At 44.9% G+C, this 21,567-nt stretch overlaps 1 long non-coding RNA gene across 3 annotated transcripts in view; it reads left to right on the top strand.

Annotated features, from left to right (window-relative positions):
- LOC105378641 (uncharacterized) overlaps positions 1-21,567 on the top strand; it is a 227,461-nt gene that overhangs the window by 61,965 nt on the left and 143,929 nt on the right. For all 3 annotated transcript variants that reach the window (XR_001737964.2, XR_001737966.2, XR_001737965.2), the window contains exons 2-3: positions 7,660-7,791; positions 18,778-18,882. This is a non-coding gene — a long non-coding RNA (uncharacterized LOC105378641). The remainder of the gene's footprint in view (positions 1-7,659; positions 7,792-18,777; positions 18,883-21,567) is intronic.

Below are 21,567 nucleotides of genomic sequence, written 5' to 3'. Positions count from 1 at the left end.
TATTTTTAGTAGACACATGGTTTTGCCATGTTGGTCTGGTTGGTCTTGAACTCCTGACCTCAAGTGATCTGCCTGTCTTGGCCTCCCAAACTGCTGGGATTACAGGCGTGAGTCACTGTACCCAGTCATGATTTTTTTTTTTTTTTTGCACTCGTTCATCTGTATATTTGTTTCCTCCTTCACACTGAAAGCCTCATTTGGTTTTATATCCCTAATGCCTGGCTTAATAAATGTTTGTTAAATAAATGAAGATAATTATGAAACAAACAAGCACAGACTGTTAAGGTGGAGCTTGAAGCAGCCCTAACTCAAACTGAGAGGATCAGGGAAGGCTTCCTGGGAGAGGTGATGTCTGAGCTGAAATTTACTTATTTCTTGCCTTTCCCTCTCAAACTGTGAGCATCTGAAGGGCAAAGATTCTGTCTTATTCACATTTTTGTCTGGGCTAGCATATAACATAATGCTTGGTACGTATTAGTTAATTCAAGAATTTTTTTTCAGGCTGGGTGTGGGGGCTCATGCCTGTAAACCCTAGCACTTTAGGAGGCCGAGGTGGGCAGATAACTTGAGGCCAGGAGTTGGAGACCAGTCTGGCCAATATGGCAAAATCTCATCTCTACTAAAAATACAAAAATTAGCCGGGTATGCTGGCACATGCCTGTAGTCCTAGCTACTCGGGAGGCTGAGGTTGCAGTGAGCCTAGATTGTGCCACTGCACTCCAGCCTGCACAACAGAGAGAGAGAATCTGTCTCAAAAAAAAAGATTTTTTTTCAACTTTTAAAAATTGTAGTAAAATACACAGAACAAAATGTATCATCTTAAGTGTATGGTTCAGTGGTATTAAATATATTCATTTTTGTGCGACCAGCACCACCCTCCAATTTCCAGAATGCTCTTTCATCTTGCAAAACAGGAAATATTTTTGAATGCATGTCAAATATCTTTTTCCTTGCTCCCCATTCCTGCACGTCTACCCCATATTCAGTTTTTGAGACAGTCCAATAATTCAGCTCACCCACAGCCAGCACCTCTTGTTTAACATGAGGCTTAGCCACAGTGTACACAACCAGCCAACAAGACTTAGAATAACTACCAGGAATGCTCAGATTTAGATTGGACCCACGGGTCACTTTGCCTTCCAGCTGTCCATAAGGATGCTCCTTTACCCCCAGACCTGGGAGGGCTTTTCCAACTCTGCCACGGCATTGGAATTCTAAATCGGTGCCTGACATCTGAGCCTAAGGGTTCTAACTGGAACTTGGAGGCTGACTAGTTGCATGCTCAACCCTTCCCCTACTTCCTTCGTCTCTTGTGTTAACTCTGTAGGCATCTGTCTCACCCACCAGATTACAAGCTCCTCTGAGGCCAGAGACCATACCTTCAGCATGTTTGTATTCCCCACAGTGCCTGCCACACTGCAGGTAGGCATCAATAAAGCGTTGTTAAATAAATAAAGAAATAACCCACACTGAACGATTTATCCTGATTAACTCCTTGGAAGTAGTTCCCTTAGGATGAATTCAATATGTGGTTTCTCCCATCTTCTAAAAGCCTCACCCTTTATCTACAGCAAATTATGGTCATGCTGGTTTCTACACCATTGGTTTTCTCCATAAACTGCCTGTGCAGGTCTCTCCATTGAAACTGCAATGGCCCGGTTGACTCTGAACCCCAGAGCCCTCCTCTCCCATCTTGATTCCTGGGAATGCAGGTTTGGTCTAACTGACTCCTGGAAGTAATATTGGGGTGTAGCTGAGATATGTTCATGTCATGATTGTAGGCTAGGAACCCAAGACAACCTGGGGGTGTTCTATACACAGAACTCAATGTGGTGCATGAATCAGCAGCCTTGGTTACGAGGGGCCATATTTGCGTTACCTGTGTGGTCATCCATGGCCTAAAATGTTTTGATCTGTTTCATCTTCTTCCACCCTAAAAGCTTGGAACCAAGTCTCAATTTGTACCATTTCAGTGGGAGAACAGATTAGCCCAAAGCTTCAATGTTTGTTAATAGAACCAGAAGAAGGGCCAAGAGGTTTTACCTCGATGCTTAGAGCTGGGCTGGCTTAGATCAACCACCAAGATTTTTTACTCCCAGAAAGTTCCTTTGAGCTCTCTTACCTAATCTCATGGGATAAGACGGAACATCCATAAAATGACCACACCCATGTTTGCTGGACCCTTTTGGAATCCTATTCAGTGAGACCATGGTCCAATATGCTGGCCCTGAACTTGAGTACTGGAGAGTGCACCTCTCCTTCAGGAGTTGGGGGTAGGATGGATAGGAAGGTTCAGGTTCCTTGCTCTTTCCCTAGAACCCAGTGTCCCCATTCCAGTCATCTCCAGGCTCTGGGCCCAATTCAGTTCTGGGGAAAGGGAATTTGAAGGAGCCTCTTTTTAAGATTTAGCACCTCGAGGACTCAGTCCAATCTTGAATAGAAGCCTGCTTAATCCTGAAACCAAGTTCTAACTTTGTACCCCTGATATCTGGGGCTAATTTTGCAGTCCCTCCCTCCCCACCTTATGCTCTGACCTTGTACTTTAGTCCTCCTAATTTGGGACCTTACTTGGCTCAGACCACTCCTGTGCGTTTGAGATGCTCTGTCTGTGAGCCCAGGGCCCTGGGACCTTATGCTTCCTCACTCCCTGCCATGTTCTTTGCATCTGCCTATTTCACTCACCTGCAGAAACACCTATTGTCTCCTAAACTTTCTTGTGGCTGAACTTGCTTGGACAACTGTTCATTTGTTGACTACCTGTTAACGCTTGTCTTGATCCTGGGGGCAACACTGACATGGATTGATTTATTTCAATCAGCTTCAGCTGGGCTCACCTTCCAGCCCTTGACTCATCCCAGCTTGTGTGCTGGGTCCTCAGGCTCTAGGATTTCCTGGTCACTCTTAAACCTCTGCTCCTGAGTTCCAGGCTCCTCTTTTGATTGATCTTGCATGAAATTTAACTAGGTTTAGACAAAACTGCTTCACTCCTGATCATCACTGTACTGTTTAGTGTCACCTGAATGCAGTTTAAAATAATGAAAAGCTTTATTTTTCAGCATTATTGATTTACTACCAGTCATTAGTCTCCACAGAGAAAATATTTAAAAATGGACTCAGACCAAACTATAATAGGAGAGGATAGTAATGGGCCCATGTTAAATGGAATAAAATATGATCGCATGCTGTTATTTTGAATTTATGTCTTAATAACCTAATTGAATTTTTAGATGATCTGGATATATTTGCTCCTGACACAGCAGTTCTGGAGATAAACATGTTTTCTTTGTTGAAGACTGGTTTGACAAGTCTAATTAAGGTTTAAGAAATGATTACTTCATTCACTCATGCATTCATTCATTAATTCATTCATACATGCATGCATGCATTTATGCGTTTGTTCATTCTACCAAACACCTCTTGAGTGCCCAGCATGTCCCAGACCCTGGGGCAGGTGTTAGAGGTTAAGAGGTAAATGAACAGGGGTCTCAAGTTCAAGGAATGACTTTTCTAGAAGAAGAGGCAGATTATTACAATGCAACAGGTATGGTAGGTTGCCGCCAAGATAGCCCCCAGTAGCCCCCACCTCTTGGCATTCATGCCCTGGTGTGTTTTCCTTCCCTTGCATGTAAGCTGGACCTAGCAAATGTTTTCTAACAAATAGAATACTGTGAAAGTGGTGAGATGTCTCTTCCAAGATTAGGTTACAAAAAGACTCTCTGGCTTCTGTTCTGGGCTGCCCTCTTACTCGCTGGCTCATTTGTTTTGTTGGAAGCCTGTGGCCATGTTGTGAGTTCTTATGTGGAGAGGCCCATATGGCAAGAAACTGATATCTCCAGGTGATAGTGAGGACATGAGGCCCGCCAACAGCCATGTGAATGAGCTTGGAAGTGGATCCTACCCTCCTTGATTACATCATCATGAGGGACTTTGAGCCAGATGCTCTGAGCTAAGTCACACCTGAATTCCTGACACACAGAAACTGTGAGATAATAAATATTTGTTGTGTTAAGACACTAAGTTTTGCGGTGATTTGTTGCACAGCAATAGATAACTAATACAACACGATGCTTTGCTGGAAAGATGAACCATGCACTGTAGGGGTAGAGAGGCAGGAGTGATCAAATCTGCATGGAGAAGTTGGGCAAGGTGTCCCCAAGGAGGGTATGGTCCTGTAGCTAGAGAAGAAGGCTACAGATAATTAGTGGTAATCCATCCTCCCTTTCCCTCTCCTCTTATTACCATGGAACAATCTTCAAGCTCCTACCCTAGAATCCACACCTGGCAAAGAATCTGCACCGTGTTGTTCTGTAGATCTGGGCTAATGCACTATTGGTAATGGAATAAAAGAGATGCTGGTGGTTCCCTTCCTCTCCCTACACCTCTTTCAGACACAGTGGACTGGCTCTGTCCTGACTATCTCCTTCAGATTACTGGGTCTCAGTCTAGCTGCCTTTTCCCCCAGAAGGGGCCTCAGACACCCCATCTTGCATTTGCAAAGTCTCCATTCAGCACAGCTCAGCACATCTCCCTGTGCCCTCCTCAATTAAAAATGACACAAAAGTAAAGGAGACACATAGCTCTTTGAAAAAACTTCCAGATCCAAACTTTTTAATGAAGATGGAATATAAAGAGCCTGTCTTATCTGTCCGATGTGACTCCCATGTGCTGTAATCAAGCAGAATTAATTAAAAGCAATCAAGTGGCTAGTTGGCATAGGGGCCTGCGGCATGAGTCTTTCATCTTAGCCACAAGAATGCTCTTCCTGAGGGGGCGGGGTTGCAGGCAGAGAGTTGGGTGAGCCCATTGCTAGAGGGAAAACCAGCCCACTAGCAAGTGTTCAATGCCAAGGCATGACCCATGCTGCTGGAGTGAGTTTAGTGCAACTCAAAGAGGTGTTTCCACATTGTGTATGAAGGGTCCAGTTCAGGGCTTCTTAAACTCTCAACCTATGGACATCTGGGGCTGGATACTTCTTTGTTGTGGGAGCTGTTCTGTGCATTATAGGATGTTTTGTGGCATCCCTAGCATCTACCCACTAGATGCCAGTGCAACCCCTGCCTAATAGCAACAAGTAAAAATTTCTCCAAACATTACCAAATGTCCCCAGGGTAGGGGTTGGGGAGCAAAATTGTCCACAGTTGAGAACTGCTGGCCCAAACTAGAGTTTCCTTCAATAAAGGTATAGCTAGACTAGGACACCTTTCAGTCACGGTGGCCCCTGGCACCCTGGGTTAGCTTAAAGATGACAACGACCCTCTAGCTTGCAGTAAGTTGGAAAATGTTATTATCCCAGTGGGGCCAAAGAGCCAGTCACATGGAGAGAGGCAATGTGAAGCCTCAAGTCTAAAGGGGAATGATTCTTCCCTAGACTTATATAGAATGCAAGAAATTCCTCCCCCCGGAAATATTTTACAACCACTGCCAAGTATTGCACAATCTCTCCTAACATCAGCCACCTCCTCATACTGTGACATTTCCCAGTACAGAGTGACAAATGGGGGCAGGAAAGGGGTTGTGGTGGTGGGATATCAGAGGACTTTCATCTCCAATTTGGCAATACTTTTTCTCACTGGTCCCCTCTGTCTTTTTGCTTACAAATATCTTATAGAATCTTGGAATATTTGGCTCCTGTTATACTCAAAGGATATGAGCTTTGCTAGACTTTTCAACAACAAGAGTGTGACTTAAATAGCCCTGTCTTGGTCCAGCAACAATAGATTAAGCGAATGGTATCATATCCTACATAACAACCAGGAGAAAAGTGGAAGGCATGCTAAGGTACCACGGGAGTGCCAACTTTCACCCAGTGGCCCCACTTATTAGATAAAGAAGGACAGAGAGTTGAAAGATTGCTTAATGCAGGGTGGCAGGGGCTGAAGCATTGCTGGGTCCTAAAGAACAAAGGAGGAGGAGTTTCTGTCCGAGCTTGTTTGTGCAGCGTAAGTAGAGAGTCCATTAGAGCTCCCCTCTTCCCATGATTGTCTGTCTTTTTCAGCCTCCCTTTCGGGCTGGATGCCTGCAGAATTGGGGAGGTGTGGGGACATCCTTTCTGGATATCCACAGAAGGAATAGGTGACATTTGAAGGTGGCCAGGAAGCAGAACATGTCTAGAACCCCTGTTATGGGCCAGGCACAGTGCTCATATTTCATTAACCCAAACAGCCCTGAGAGAGAAATAGCATTACCCCTTTACAGTGAAGGAAGACGAAGCAACTAGAAAGTTGCAGAGCCAGGATTCAAACCCAGTCTCCTGACTCCAAAGTTTATGGTCTTTCTCCCGTATCTGCTTCTTTCCTTAAGCTCATAAAATAGACTTAAGGATGTGGGTCTCAGTGCATTGAGGTCAAGGGCTGTTGATGGGCAGGATCCCAATTCCAGAGGAAGCGGTGACAGAAGTATACCTCAGGCTCTGGTCTACTTTTGGTCCCTTCTGAGTTTCCTTGGGGGTCACAGCTTCACTGCAAAACTGGGATACAGCTTAAAGAGCAAATTGACGGGTACCTTTGCCCTTCCTGACACCTCCCTGGGCCACACTGCCATTCCTCATCTGTTACTTTATTTCCAAAGAGTTGTTCGGTCCAAGAGTTACCTCCAACTCACCCTTCTTTGGTCAGGTCCCGAAAAGATGCCTTCACATCCTAACCCAGAACGTGTGAATGTGACTTTATTTGGAAAAAGTGTCTTTGCAGATGTAACTAAGTTAAGGATCTCAAGATGAGATCATCTTAGATTATCTGGGTGGGCCTTAAATCCAATGATAAGTGACTCCATAAGAGACAAAAGAGGAGAATTCTGGGAGAGAAGAGGAAAAGGCCATATGAAGATGGAGGCAGAGATTGGAGTGATGCAGCCACAACACAAAGAATGCTGACAGTCACTGGAAGCTGGAAAGGGCAAGGAAGTACTCTCCGCTAGGGTATTTGAAGGGAGCATAGCCTTGCTGACAGCTCAATCTCAGACTTCTGGCCTCCGGAACTGGGCACAAATAAATTTCTGTTGTTTTAAGCCACCAAGTGGCTTATGTGTTATGGCAGCCCCAGGAAATCAATACAGGTTCCCAAAGTTAAATATAAGGTCATTGCAATTTGCTACTGCTCCATCAGCCTGCATTGATGGGATGCCTGGTACATTTGTGGCCTCCTCCCCCGGTTGCAATGAGGGGCAAGAGGGTGCCCCCGAGGCACTTGAAAGCCATTCACAGCCAGGAAACACAAAGTATAAGCTTATATGAGGCTAGAGAGTTGGCCTGAGGCTTGATGCCAAAGGGCCTTAAATCCACGTTAAAGATTTGGAATTCATCTCTAGGATCTTGAGAAGCTCCTGCAGGTTTTAAGGTGTATAATGAATCAATGAGTGTGCGTTTTAGAATGCACACGCTGGGTGCCAGATGGGAGATAGAGAGGGCAAGATTCCCATGTGCCTCCATCCAGCTCTGCTCTTCACCTCTAACTCCAAGTGACAGCCCCTAGGTGGGCTGTCTCTGCTTGGTCAAGGAGACAGACACACTTGGGAGAAGAGTTAGCCAGCCGGAGGAAGTCAGGTTCAGAGTGGTGGACTGGTGAAGCTCTCCAGGCACTAAACTTTTATTCATCACCAAGGTCTCTCAGCTAGTAGTCTATTTCCATGAAAGTCATCACAAGATTTTTTTTTTTTTTAAAGCAGGCCAATTAAATCAAGCATATTCCTCAGTATCATGGAGAGACTGGAGGTTAGAGACACCAAAACCATCCCTGGCTTAATGACTTTGGGATCCCTGGGCCCCTCCATGCAGCAGAACGGCAATTAACCAAGGTGGGTGACTTTCTTTCTGCTTGTGTTGACAATTGGAAACAGAAGCAGCTTTTGGGTCTGGGGTAGGAACCAGAACTGAGTTAATACTTTAGTTTGCCCTGAGAATAAAAAAAGAATGATAGGGCTGAATGGGGGCTCCCCACTGCCTCTGACTTCCTCAGATCTTACGCTGTGTTCCTCTGCCATGGCTCCTTTATTCCCGGGCCTCCTTCCAAGTTGTTACTTGTCACCTGTCACCTGAGTCACCCTGGAGCCTCACAGCTGATCTTCTGTCTTTTCTTCCTTTCTCACCCATCCTTTACATCAGCCATGGGAAGCTCTCTCTCAGGCACCAGGTAATCACGATTCCAACACACATCCTATTGCCAGTGGGTTCAACCCGAAAGTCTTTAGTCTGATGTTCAGTCTCATCTTTCACTCTTTGTCTTCTGCTCTCTGCTTGCCTACATCTGCTGGAGCTGACACTGTGCCAAATCCTGTCCAGGACCTGCTTATTTCCAGCACTGTCTTTGTTGGGTGTCTGTGCTTGGGACACCTTCCTGTTTCATCTCCATCCAAGCTTTGAGAGACTTTGCAGTATATTCATTAAGTGTGTAGCGCTGGAATCAGACTCTTTGAGTTCATATTCTGCCTCTGTCACTTACATGAAATAAAATATATAAGCTCTTGGCTCAGACCGTGACATAAAATAAGTGTTCAATAACATGCTTGACAGTATTATTTCTCCCGCACATCACTTCTGTTGAATCCCAGTGTTCACTTCTCTCAGGAAGTCTTTCCTGCGTAACATTAACCTGGGCCTCCCTGACCCTGCTCACTCACAGGCAATAAAACCTCCCTTGGAAGCTCGAATCAGGGCAGAGGTCCTTTCAGCATGTCTGACCCCATGGGTGGGTGTGGAATGACTAGCACTTTCTGATTCTCTTTGGTCTGGTACATATTGATGAGCCTCCATTGAACTGCTCTGAATCAAAGCTTTCTCTTAACATCAGTCATGGACCACCCATCCACCCACCATCCATCCATCCACTCAGTCATTCAGCGATATTTTGAACACTTATTATGTGCCAGGAACTGTGCTATGTGTTGGGTATACAACGGAGGAAAAGGCAGACTCTGCCCCACCTTCATGAAGTCATTGTGCAGTAGGGAGAAAGATACTCAGATAGGCAAATATGACACAGAGGGGCCAGTGTTCTGATGAGGGAAGCACAAGGTGCTGAGATAACCCGCAAACCCTAAGGAGAAGCTCTGCAACCCTGCCTTAGAAGATCCCTGGAAGCGATCCAAAGGAAGCAAGTTTAAGCTGAGACCCAAAGAATAAGAAAAATGTTAGCCAAGTGGAAGAGAATTGCTGGTGAAGAGTGTTTTAGTTGAGGAAACTGTGTGTATAAAGACACAGAGGTGAGAGAGGGAATGGCATAGTGGAAAGTTGGGTGAGGTGGTGTGTGTGCCCATGCACCGTGCAAGTGTATGCACGGGTGCCTGTTGGAGGTGAAGGTGAGATGAGGCGGGAGGGGCAGGCAGGGGCCAGGATATGCAGGGACTTACAAACCATGTGAAAGAGTTTTGACTTGCACATCACAGCCATGGAATAAATGAGAAAGTGAGTGGGAGTTTCAGTGGGGGAATGGCATGATTAGATTTATAATTTAGAAAAATCACACTGGCTGCAGTGTGGAGAATGGAGGGAGGTTGGTTTGTGAGACTCCATGACAAAGTCGGCTTCAGTTCTTTCCCCAGGCAACCGGGATCCTGCTTGAGCTTGAGCTCCAGCTGAGGCCCTACTGCCTTGCGTGGTTCTTGCTAGGTCCCCTCCTGAGGGTTGGATCTGTCCCTAATTCTCAGCTGTTGACTCAGGTCCTGCTCACAGTGGACAAGTGACCTCCAACCAGGATCATGTCACTCCAGGTACAGTCTCTGCATAGAGGGGACACATGTCCACATAGATTGGGTCTCTTGCATTCTGATATACTTGACTACTGGTCTGGGCCAAGCTTGAGACAGCTGTATATCTTTGGAACAATACAGTTTGGAGCTTTGGCTATCACTTCTTGTGTAGTGGCAACCTTATTCATCCACTTATTTGTCTCAAACATTTATCAATTATCTGCTATGTCCCCAGCGCTGTGCTAGGTACTGGGTACCTGGTGGTAAGCAAAGCCAAGATGGTTTCAGTGCTCATGGCATTGTGAGAGATGGCTCTTTTTTTTTTTTTTTTTTTTTTTTTTTTGAGACAGAGTCTTGCTGTGTCGCCCAGACTGGAGTGCAGTGGCGCAATCTCGGCTCACTGCAAGCTCCGCCTCCTGGGTTCATGCCATTCTCCTGTCTCAGCCTCCTGAGTAGCTGGGACTACAGGCGCCCGCCACCACGCCTGGCTAATTTTTTGTATTTTTAGTAGAGACGGGGTTTCACCATGTTAGCCAAGATGGTCTCGATTTCCTGACCTCGTGATCCGCCTACCTTGGCCTTCCAAAGTGCTGGGATTACAGGCGTGAGCCACCACGCCCGGCCTAGAGATAGCTCTTAAATAAAATAAATAAATACATTTCTATTAAATAAATAGAAATTGTTCTAACTGACATTAAAGAAAAGAGTAAGGTTCTGAGGGGGGATGTGCTTTAGGTTAGATGGTGCATCTGGCATCTCCATTCTGATCCTCCAGGTCCTTCCTCCACTCTGGTCTCTGCCTTGGTGGGCTGACCTGGATGGTCCACCTCAGTGGGTTCTCTTATGTCTGGCTTCTAATAGAGTTCAGCCAAAGGGGGTGGTCAGCCAGAGATTAGAGGGTGAGAGAAGAGTGAGGTTGGGATATTTATTCCCCTAGCTTTCTCCCTGGCTGGTTACCCTGGGCTGGCCACATTCTTTGTCTTGTTCCTTCATCCTTCCTGGCTAGGGGCAGTTCTGTCCTCCCCCTGATGGTACCCCTTTGTCTCACTTCATGCCTTTATGCATAGTCCTTTTAGAAACCTCCTTGAATTATCCTAATGTGAATGTGCCATTGTTTCCTGCCAGGACCCTGATGGATACAGATGGCAATAGAAAGCCTCTCTGAGGAAGTGACATTTAAGCTAGACTTTCGGGATGAGCGGGAGCCAGCCATGTGAAGAACGGGGGAGGAGAGACACTCCAGGCAGGAGGAAGTCGCGTGTGAAAACTCCAAGGTGGAAAGAGCTCACTGTTGTGTTCAAGGAACAGAGAGAAGGGCAGTGTGTCTAGAGTGCAGCACTCAGGAGAGACAGCACGAGATGAGATTTTCTGAATTTCATCCCGATCACACAGCACACAGCAGAGGAAGTGGTTGGCCTGCCCTCCGGGTCACCTCTCTCCTCATGCTGGCCCTTACGAAAGATAAAAATACTGATAACTAATGCTTATTGAACACTTACTATGTTTCAGGCATTGTTTTAAATAAATTTATATTAAATAAATAGTAATTGTTCTAACTGCAATTAAAGAAAAGAATAAGGTTCTGTGAGGATGACAGCGGGAATGTGCTTTAGGTTGGATGGTGCGCCCGGCATCTCCGTTCTGCTCCTCCAGGTCCCTTCTCCACACTGGTCTCTGCCCTGGTGGGCAGACCTAGAGGGTCCACATCAGTGGGTTCTCCTATGTCTGGCTTCTAGAAGGGTTTAACCAAAGGCGAGGACAGCAGGAGAATGCTTTGCATGCATTGATTCATTTAATCCTTCAACAACCCCAAGAGGAAGGTATTCTTAGCATACACATTTTACAGATAAGGAAACTGAAGTTCAGAGAGATTGAGTAACTTATCCAAATTCCACAGCTTCAAAATGGAAGAGCTGGGACTTGAAATCGCGTAGTCTGGAGCCAGGGCACTACTCTTAATCACCCGCTATAAACACGTTGGCTAAGTCCTTAGCCCTCACTAGTTCTTATCTTACATGCCTCAAACATACAGTGATTTCCTGTATTTATCAATCAACTCCAGTGGTTTCCTATACCTGTCAATTGTTTAATAAATTATGCACATTTTTTTCTGTCTTCTCAAATGTATCATAGACTTCTCAAAGACCTAGACAGAGTCTTTTAATTCTCCACTACCTGTAAAATCTTGTAAAGTGATGAGCACACAAGAAAGTACTCAATAAATGCTTTTTGGATTCTTGATTTGAATTAGACAGTGGGTGTAAAGTAACAGTGCCTGGGAAATAGAAGGTGTTTAACAGATGGAACCTGTCACTGGTGCTTACAAGGAAGGAAGCAAGAAGGAAGAAAAGTTAGTTTCCTAGGCAATCAAACATGAGATTGTTGGATAATCACACTAGGTCATCTCCTTGGTACCCATAGTGCAGGATCTTGTCTTAAACTAGGCACTAAAGAGTAAATTGGGGGAGAACAGGATTGTTCTCCTAGATGTCAACTTAATGTCATCATTTTTCTTTCAATCATCCAATTTGTATCTATAGGTTTTGGGATCTTATATTTTCAGCTGCATCTCCTCTTGGGGTGATGAGTTCTGTAAATTCATTCCCTGCTGTGTGAAGGAGCACTTCCTTTTATTGATCCTGAATTTACCTCCTGCAAGTTTCAAGTTTCAAGTTTCCTTCCCTCCCTTTCCTTTATCTTTCCCTGGAACAAGTACCTGGGAATAGGTGAGCAATTCCCTGTGCTTTACTCCACTCTATACCTACCTATTCTCCATCCCAAGAAACCTAGTGGTTTTCTCTCTTCTCACTTTCCTTCAAACTTTTCCTTTCATCTCTTCTTGGTACAGTGAAGACAGTAGAATGAACTTCCAAAAAGAACCTTCCTAAAAATGAAGGTAACCTGGACAGAAAAGAAGCAGACCATACACACACTGTTGGAACTGTCTGGTGGCCCAAACTTAAGCCCCTTCATTGAAGCAGAGAAGTGCCTCCCCAGATCCCTGGTTCCCAGGCACTGAGAACACCATACTTATTTTTCAAGTGGCTGGCTTGTTCTCCACCTGATTTCCCTGCCTGTCCTTTGGCCAGGTGGTTGTCAGGGATCTTATTGTTTCCTTGTATAACAAAAGCTCACCAGCCATCTTGCCTCCTAAGAGAGATATTTTGACAAAAGAGACATTTTATGTTGATGATTTTGAATGCTACTGGGTCATAGTGGCTATGTAAACATTTTTTTAATGTCAAAATATTGTGTATTTTAGATATCTTTGAGCCTCTCTGCCCATGTGTCTCCCCATTTCTGGGAACTGTGCTCCTTTCCTGACTTTTACCTGATCTGACCTCTACCCCTGAACTCTGCCCCTAGGCCAACTGTCTACCCTGTAAAATCAGCCAAGGGTGTGGAGTGAGGGAGGGGGAGTCATGGGGTGAGGTTGCCCCTTCCAGAGGGTGTGGGCAGGGTAGGCAATAAAATAAGTCGTGTGTGTGTGTGTGTGTGTGTGTGTGTGTGTCAGTTTCACACATTACTTGGTTAAAAGAACAGAAGAAAGGCCATTTTTTTTGTTTGGTCACGTGAAGGTGCCATTGGCATCTAAATGATTGTGTCCAAGTACCCACATCAGAATGTTGTTCACCTTGGAACCAGCGATTCTCAAACCCTGGCTGCACATTAGACTTTGTGGGGGCCTTTATAGAAACGAAGCCATGCCTCCCTCCTTTCTGCTCCTGTCCCCCTGCCCTCTGCCTGGAATCCAAGTAAATCACAATTACATTTTGAAAACTCCCCAAAGGATTCTAAAGCACAGCTAGAGAAAAGAACCACTGTCCTGATCACACATACAACCTCTCAACACCCACACACTGTCTCTCAATCTGTCTTTTCCACAGCTCCAGTGACAGTCAACGGGTGGGGCTGAGAAACCACACTGAAGATTTGTCCAGAAGAATATTGATCTTGGGGCCCTGATCAATGAGCTCTGTATTATCACAGTGTTTTTTTTAAAATTACTTTATTGTATTTTTAGTATCTAGTTTCATTTTCCAGTCTCAGGAGCATGTCTGGTTTATGCCTGAGTTATAGGGCTCACTAAAACTTATTTATTAATCCACTCGTTTATTCATTCATTCTCGTTTATTCATTCATTCATCTAGTCACTCAATCACTCATCCACTAATTTACTTATTCACTCTCCCACTCACTCATTTATCCCTCTGACCATCATATCCATCTGTCATTTATTTACCCATTGGTTCATTCACTGTTTCATTCATTTCTCGTGTTTATTCATTTGTTCATTAGTCCATCCCTGTACCATCATCCCACCCATTCATTCATCTATCCATTCACTCTTTCGGTCATTCATTCAATCATTGTTAATTTATTCACTTTTCAGACATTTTCTGACACTTTATAGTTGAAGGCTCCTGAACCTGGCTCTGGGGAAACACAGATGAATTACACTCACAATAAGGTTGCATTTGGAGGCTGAACTTATTTGTTCTCTGGGGCCAGAGAAGCTTGGCCTTTTGCTCTCTTCCGTGATTAGACGCAGTGACTTTTGGTGGGAAACACTTCACCATCCCAGTGAAAAGTCTTTAAAGTCTAGGGACTCTCCCAGGACAGGACCAGAAGGCTTCCTCTGGATGGAAGAAATTGCTCTGTAGTGCTAGCTGGTGGGGAGGAATAGGAGAAGATGGGAGTGACACCTGATGTTTCCAGTTTAGGAAAAATCAGCTGCTTAGAGCTATGCCTTCTTACAATGAAATTTTCTTTTGAATAGGAATAAGGAAAACGGGAAAATATAATAAAAAAGAACTAAAATGGGCTAAAAATGGCACAACGAAAGGAAAATAGAGAAAAGATAAAAGCAAATTGCTGTAGTAAATATAGTATATAAAATAAATAAATACCCACCCTCAAGAGACCAGTGAGTCCTGGTGGGTGAGTTAAGTGTGAAAAACCTGGGGCAGGTGGGGGAGAAGCTGGGCTATCTTCTAGAAGGGCCAACTTGTAGACTGGGGTTCCCTTCGATATTCTGTGGTTAGAGATTCTGGCGGAGAGTTCTTCAGAGAAAGGTCCTAACTCTTAATGCATGTGTTTCACAGAGAAATTCATTCATTCTTTCATTCTACAGATGTTTACAGAGTGTGTGGCCCACTGCCTCCTTGCAGTTTACCATTCAGTGGGGAAGGCAGACACTTGGACAAGTAGTTACATGTAGGGGTGATGGGTACCATGAGGAGGAAGTACAGGGAGCTATGGGAATGTCTAATGGGAGAAACCAATCTAACGAGTCAGGAAAGTTTCCTGGAAAGTGTAGGTGTAAATGGTGACTTGAAGGTGGATGTGTGTTACGTAGTGAGGAAAAAAATGTGCGAAGGCTGAGGGTATGGGAAGGCATGGAATGAAATCTCCCCTCTGTGGCTGGTATGCATGGTGTAAGGGGAGAGGGGCAAGAAAAAAGGCAACAACTAGAAGTGTCATTCATCCAACAAACCATCACTAAGCATCTACTCTGTATACTCCAGAGCTAGGAGTATAGAATGTAAGGACAAGGGGACACAGTTTCTGTCTTCAAAAGCACCTGTTGTTCAAGGAGCTTAAACGGAATGGAGAACAAAGGAAGGGTTAAGAGAAAATTGTTGAGGTTGCCGTCCCTGCCAACACACTGACTTTGATGCATGACTCCCTGCTGTGGTTGAGGGAGGCACAACTTGCTTTGTTTCTTGGGTGCATTTTGCCTGGGTGGGAATGCGTCAATGCTGGACTTTTCCAGCCAAAGTGGCAGTGTTTTCTAAAGAGCAGCTAACTGGACAATGTCACTGCATGGTGATTTTGTCACAAGAGGGAGCAGCAGGAGGAGGACTGGGGATGGAGGGCATAGACAAGTGGTCCAGATCGGCTACATGGGCAGTACAGCCTGGCAGGTCTGATCTCACCAGGAGTGGCCATATGGAGACACAGAAGGACTTCTGGGGTGTTTGAATGTTGAAGTGTGTACAAAGTTGAGGTGCCACCAGAGAAAACCAGGTGGTCTGTTTCCCCCCAGGCCTTACAAGGTGCTATTTTTCTTGGTGAATTCACCATGCCCAGGCTTCAGTCTAGCCTTACATAAACAGTTTGGTCCATGCCCCAGAACGGATCAAACTCAGGAATGAATACCAATGTACTTAGGCCAGTGGATTTCATAAAGTTCTGGCGTGCGACATCAGACCTCCTTGAAAAATATTACCACTTGGGGGAATGGCATGGCTACTCATGTCCTCTGGACACAGCATTCTCTCTTTCTGGCCATGCCAAACGCGTAGTTAAATTACAATCAGAAGGTGTTTTCATGCATCAGTCAGGTTTTAATGCTGGACACAGGAACTTTGGATATTTGAAGAAGAAAGAGATTTATTTATGATGAGGAATTAGGTGCTTCCAAAATAGCTGGATGGCTTGGAGGACAAACTCTAAGTGGGGCCTCCAGGACTGATTCCTAGTAGAATGGATCCACTGGGGGAGCTGTTACCTTTGATGTAATCTGGATAGCAGGAGATCAGGAGGTTGAGCCTGAAATAATTGAGGTCAAATGTACAAAGCTATAGCTGTGATCTAGGGCTCAGGAGTCTGCCTGTGGCACTACCACAATTGCCTGGATGCTGAAACATGAAGTCTGATGAAAGCCTACTAATATCTCTACTCCCTTGCTTGTCAAAAGGAAGACAGCCCCTGCCTCACTTTTCCCTGCAAAATTTCACCTAGGTGCATTTGAATGATGAAACCTATTTCTCATCGAGAACTCAATCACTCAATCTCCAAGGGAGTCTTGGAAATGTAGACTAAATCAAATCTTTCCAGTATAGGAATACTCAGTAGAAGGAGGTGGGAGTGGATGCTGAAAGCCAGTTGACAATTTCCATCACTCCTAGTACATGTGCAATTAGAACAATAGGATTTAATTACGCAATGTGAAAGGTGAACAACGTGAAGCCATGATACCCTAAAGAATCAACCTGTACATATGCCACAAGTATGTTACAGGAAACTGAAGGGGTCAAGGCCACGGTCCATGGTGACCCGAATCCTCAGGGCTGGGATGGACAGTCCAGTGGTCCTCTAAGTACCACTTGTTCTGTGCCTGTGGCTGACCACTTCTCATTTTGATTCACAAATAATTTCTTTATAACACTCCTGTCAAATCTTTTACATGACTTTGCTGATCTCAGAAAATATGTGTAGATTTATTTGTGCCATTATGTTGAAGGAGTATGGCTTGTGAGATGCAGTTCTAAAGCAATTTTATTTTTGTCTCCCATGATCCCAGTTAAAATACATTCTATGGGCCTACTTCTTCTCTTGTCTCTGGATAAAAACCCAACTGGGCTCTTAACATCTATGGTTGTCACCATATAATAAAAAGTCCTATAGATACTTTAAGTTTCTACTATATTTCTAATTTAGTAATTAAAATATGCAGCCCCACAATCTTGCCTTGAAGGATAGACTTCTCGACTCAGCCCGCTGCATGCTGGAAGCTGTAGGGGAAGGAAGATGTATGGTTGGTGCTTTCTCTCTTTCTTCATTCACGTAGTACTTCTACTCCTCTCTCATCTTGCTAGCCATGTTCATGATGCCTCCAGGACTGGATGAGGAAGTCATAGAAGAGGTTAGGGGAGCAAGGATGACTTCACTTGACTGTTATCATAGTGGTGACCAGCTTCAAATCTCTTTGGACTTGGCACATGTTTAAAGTGACTTCTTCCTCTCATGGGTGCTTTTGGGAGACTTCAGAGATGCCCACCTTCTCACTGAAGATTTCTCACCTGCAGTCCCTGGTCTAGACCACATGCATCTCTATTTCGGCTGTTTGCATTCTCCTGAGAATCCAGCAGCATCTCCGCCTTCTCTCTGCTGAGGTCTGTTTGCTCTTCCATGTGGCCTTCCTTGAAAGGACCTAAGATGACACCCACCCTGGCTCTCTCTTGCACTTGACTTATATCAGATTCATGTGAAAGTCTTGTTATTCCTTTGCTCTGGCAAACTCTGGAAGAACGTCACTTTCCAGACTGTAGCCCTCAGCTCTGCATCACAGGCTGTGGCAGCCAGCCTCTTGACATTTGGATTTCTCAAGTGAGATTACAGGATTCCCACATTACGTTCTCCAGGGGGTATCACAAAGCCATAGTCTCTTGATTTGGGGTGAGGAGGTAGCACCTGTGTACTCATCAGGCTAGGCTAGATAATGCTGAGCTAACAAACAGACCCCAACCAAAGTGGCTTAATACTATACAAATTTATTTCTTGCTTTCAATCCACTGTGGGTCCAGATAACACAAAAGAGCAGTTGTCCTCCAAGCGTTGACTCAGTGCTCCAGGATGCTTTAATCTATGGCACCTGGATATAAAAAATGGTTGTACAAAAAAGTACTGCAGGTGGATAGTCATGTTGGTTGCACAACAATGTGAATGTATTGAATGCCACTGAACTATATACTTGCAAATTGTCAAAACTGTAAATTTTATGTTTGCCCACAATAAAAAACCCTGTTGTAGGCTGGGCGCGGTGGCTCACGCCTGTAATCCCAGCACTTTGGGAGGCCAAGGCGGAAAGATCACGAGGTCAGGAGTTCAAGACCAGCCTGGCCAAGATGGTGAAACCCCGACTCTACTAAAAATATAAAAATTAGCTGGGCTCAGTGGCAGGCACCTGTAATCCTAGCTACTTGGGAGGCTGAGGCAGGAGAATTGCTTGAACCTGGGGGGCGGAGGTTGTAGTGAGCTGAGATTGCGCCATTGCACTCCAACCTGGGCGACAGAGTGAGATTCCATCTCAAAAGCAATAACAAAACAACAACAACAACAACAACAACAACAACAGCAACAAAAAACCCTGTTGCCTGAGAAAAAACAACTATTTTTAGTGAACTTAACTTTTGCTTCATATGAGAAAATAATTTTTACCTTAAGTAGCTGCTAGATAGTCACTCAGATGCTGTTGATAGGACCTAAGATGACCCCCTCTTTCTTTTCAGTAATTGTTATAAATATTAATGGGCTAAATGACTTTAATAGAATTAAATAATAAAAAAAGTGTTTCTACAATTGTCACAGCAAAGGAAGAGAGGGCAGCAGGGCTGAATCCTGTCATGGAATGCTTCCATCTGCAAGTGGCACATTTCAGTGGCCAAAGCAAATTATGCCATCCCTGACTTCAAGGTAAGGTAGATGAAGTACAATCTCTTTGATGCCCAGAAGTGAAGAAAAACCAAACACCTGTCAGTATAGCTGTACCTCCCATGGCCTTCCACAGCCTCCCTCTCCTCCACCCTGGGTAGGGGTAGGATTCGTAGCACAGCTTACTCCAATAAATTCTCTGCTAAAATATTTTTTTCCCCAAATCCAACTCTTGACCTGCGCATACACTGGATGTGAAACTGATGTTTACAACCTCCTTTGCAAATTGTGCATATGGTCTACAACCTCCTTTGACATATGAGAGCTATTGTCTTTTGGTGCCCTGGCTAACAATTGCATTTTAACATTCTGTTATATATTTGTTCATGTTCTGTCTCCCCTATCTGAACGAAGGCCCTTGAGATCTGGGACTACATCTGTCTTGTTTCTGGGACTGTCTGTTAGGCTGCGTGCCTAGCACGGCATTGGACATGTTGCAGATTTTTCAGAGCTATTCTGGACAGGAAGGAGGGACAGAGGAGAGAAGGAAGGAAGGAGGGAGACAGGGAGAGAAGGAAGGAGAGAGGAGGGAAAGAAAAGAAGGAAAGAAGAAAAGAGGGAAGGAAGGAAGGAAAGGGGGGAGGGAGGAAGGAAGAAACAGAGAGAAAAATAGAAAAATGGTAGAATGGAGTTGAGTCAGGAAGCAGAGTCAGCAAAAAGAGTTCATGTGAGAAGGCAGAAAACCAAATCCCAGCATGGAGCCAAAAACTGGCAGATATCCAAATACTGGGTCAAACTCAGATCCAGTATTCAGGGGTGAAGCACTTTAGCGACAGAAATAAAATTACAATAGAGTGGCTAGGATTTGGTGCCTGATTGTGGGGTATGAGGCCCAGTGTCCCTGGAGGCTTCACGTTCCTCATTCTCCCTAATGAGAAGGGGGAAGAAAAGAGAAATGGCACTTTCTGAATGCCAGGTACTGCCTAAAGTTGTCTTATTGAACTCTCACGGTAACCCTATTATAGAACTGGGAAACTGAAGCTCAGAGAGGTGAGATAACTTGCCCAAGCTCACACAGCTAATTAGTGCAGCTGTAACCCAGATCTGGGTATCTCTAGGATGTGGGCTGTCTTCATTGCACAGATCCTTCTTAGTCCTTCTCTGAGGACAAATGATTCCTCTTTCTCTCTCTCTCTCTCTCTCTCTCTCTCTCTCTGTCTCTCTCGGAATTCAATTCCAGATAGCCGCTCCGCTAAGTGGATAGCATGAGATGCTCACTTTTCAATTTCCTGACTTCTGAGATGTTGGTAGCCATTGTGAGAGACATAAAACAACTTCAGGGTAAACCTGCCTGCCTCCACTCCGTTTATGTCTGGTTTCAAGATTCCTCCCCTCACCCAGCCCCTGACGTGCCTCCCACACAAGATCTCTGAGTTCTCTAAGCAGACGGCTTAAAGTGTTTTCTGTGGCACAACTCTATTTCAAAGAAAGATCCAAGTGCCTGTGTATTTGTGTATAAGCCTGTGTGTAGAATTGCTGATGATGTGCTGTCTGGGGAACCCCTCTGAGGGGTGCAGGTGTGATGAGGGTGAGGTGTGTAAAGGCTATATGTGCTGAGTGTGACATATGTATGTACACAAAGTCATTTACAGCTGCCATTGGCTGTGGTTTACCAATGGCCTGGAGGGCTGGTTAATGTGCCCTGTGAACTGTGCTGTCGGAGATCTCTCTTGGGTGTCATTGAGTTCCCGACTGTGGCTTTGCCTAGTGATCTAGGAAAATGGCATGGTGGCCAATTCACCTGAGGGAATTGGTGATGATGGGAATTGTGTTGAACTGTGGCTTGCCCCTTAGGACACTAGTAAGACTTGCCTGCAGTGCACGCACGTCTGTGCTTGATGACCACTTGAAGTCACCCTGGCTGCTAGTACTGATGATCTAAGAGTTCTGCAGGGAGAAAGTCTGTGAAATCTTCCTGGGTACACCATGGGGGTGGAGGGTGCACCAAGATGTTGAAAAATGCATTGACAATAGGTACCAGAATCCTTGAAGAGCTCTGTAGTGAGTCATCTGTAAGCTGGAGATGGAACTAGGATCCTTGATCTCTGTGGTATAATGGGGTCCCAGTGCTGTCGAGGCAAGACGGTGGTGACGAACCATCAGAGACAAGGAATGTGGAACTTCTATAATAATCCACAAGCAGAGACGTTTGCTTTGAACTTTCAGCAGACTGTTTTACCTTCCTATCAGGCCAGCTCCTTCTGGGAAATGGGGCAGGTGATAAGCCCAGTGATTTCCATGAATCTTCTGCCTCCTTGCCAATGCATTTCCTAATACTTCCGTGAAACAAAGCCCTCCCATGGTACATTGTTTGGGCATGGCTGAGTAGGTTGTACATCAAATATAGGCTTTCTTTTCCTGCCTACAGCACCAGCTGAAGTCCAGAACCATCATTTCTGGACTTATCATCCCCTTGATATCCACACAGTAATACTTCCAACCAGGGCAAACTTTTTAAGGCAAAGGAGTAAGGTACTGAACTAAAGACCACGCACACTATTCTAACCACATGCCCCATCACCCAGAAGAAACTGGCTTGATAAGGTGAAGGAGAGGTCTGCTGAAAGTTCAGTTACAACTGAATAGCCTCAATTGATGAATAGCATCTGCGAAGATGAGGTTGGATTCTGCAGGGTATGGTGTATGTCTTAAACCAGTAGTCAATGT

The sequence above is a fragment of the Homo sapiens genome, chromosome 1, assembly GCF_000001405.40.
Source record: "Homo sapiens chromosome 1, GRCh38.p14 Primary Assembly".
Classification (NCBI taxonomy): Eukaryota; Metazoa; Chordata; class Mammalia; order Primates; family Hominidae; genus Homo; species Homo sapiens.
This window is presented reverse-complemented; position numbering and strand designations above follow the sequence as displayed.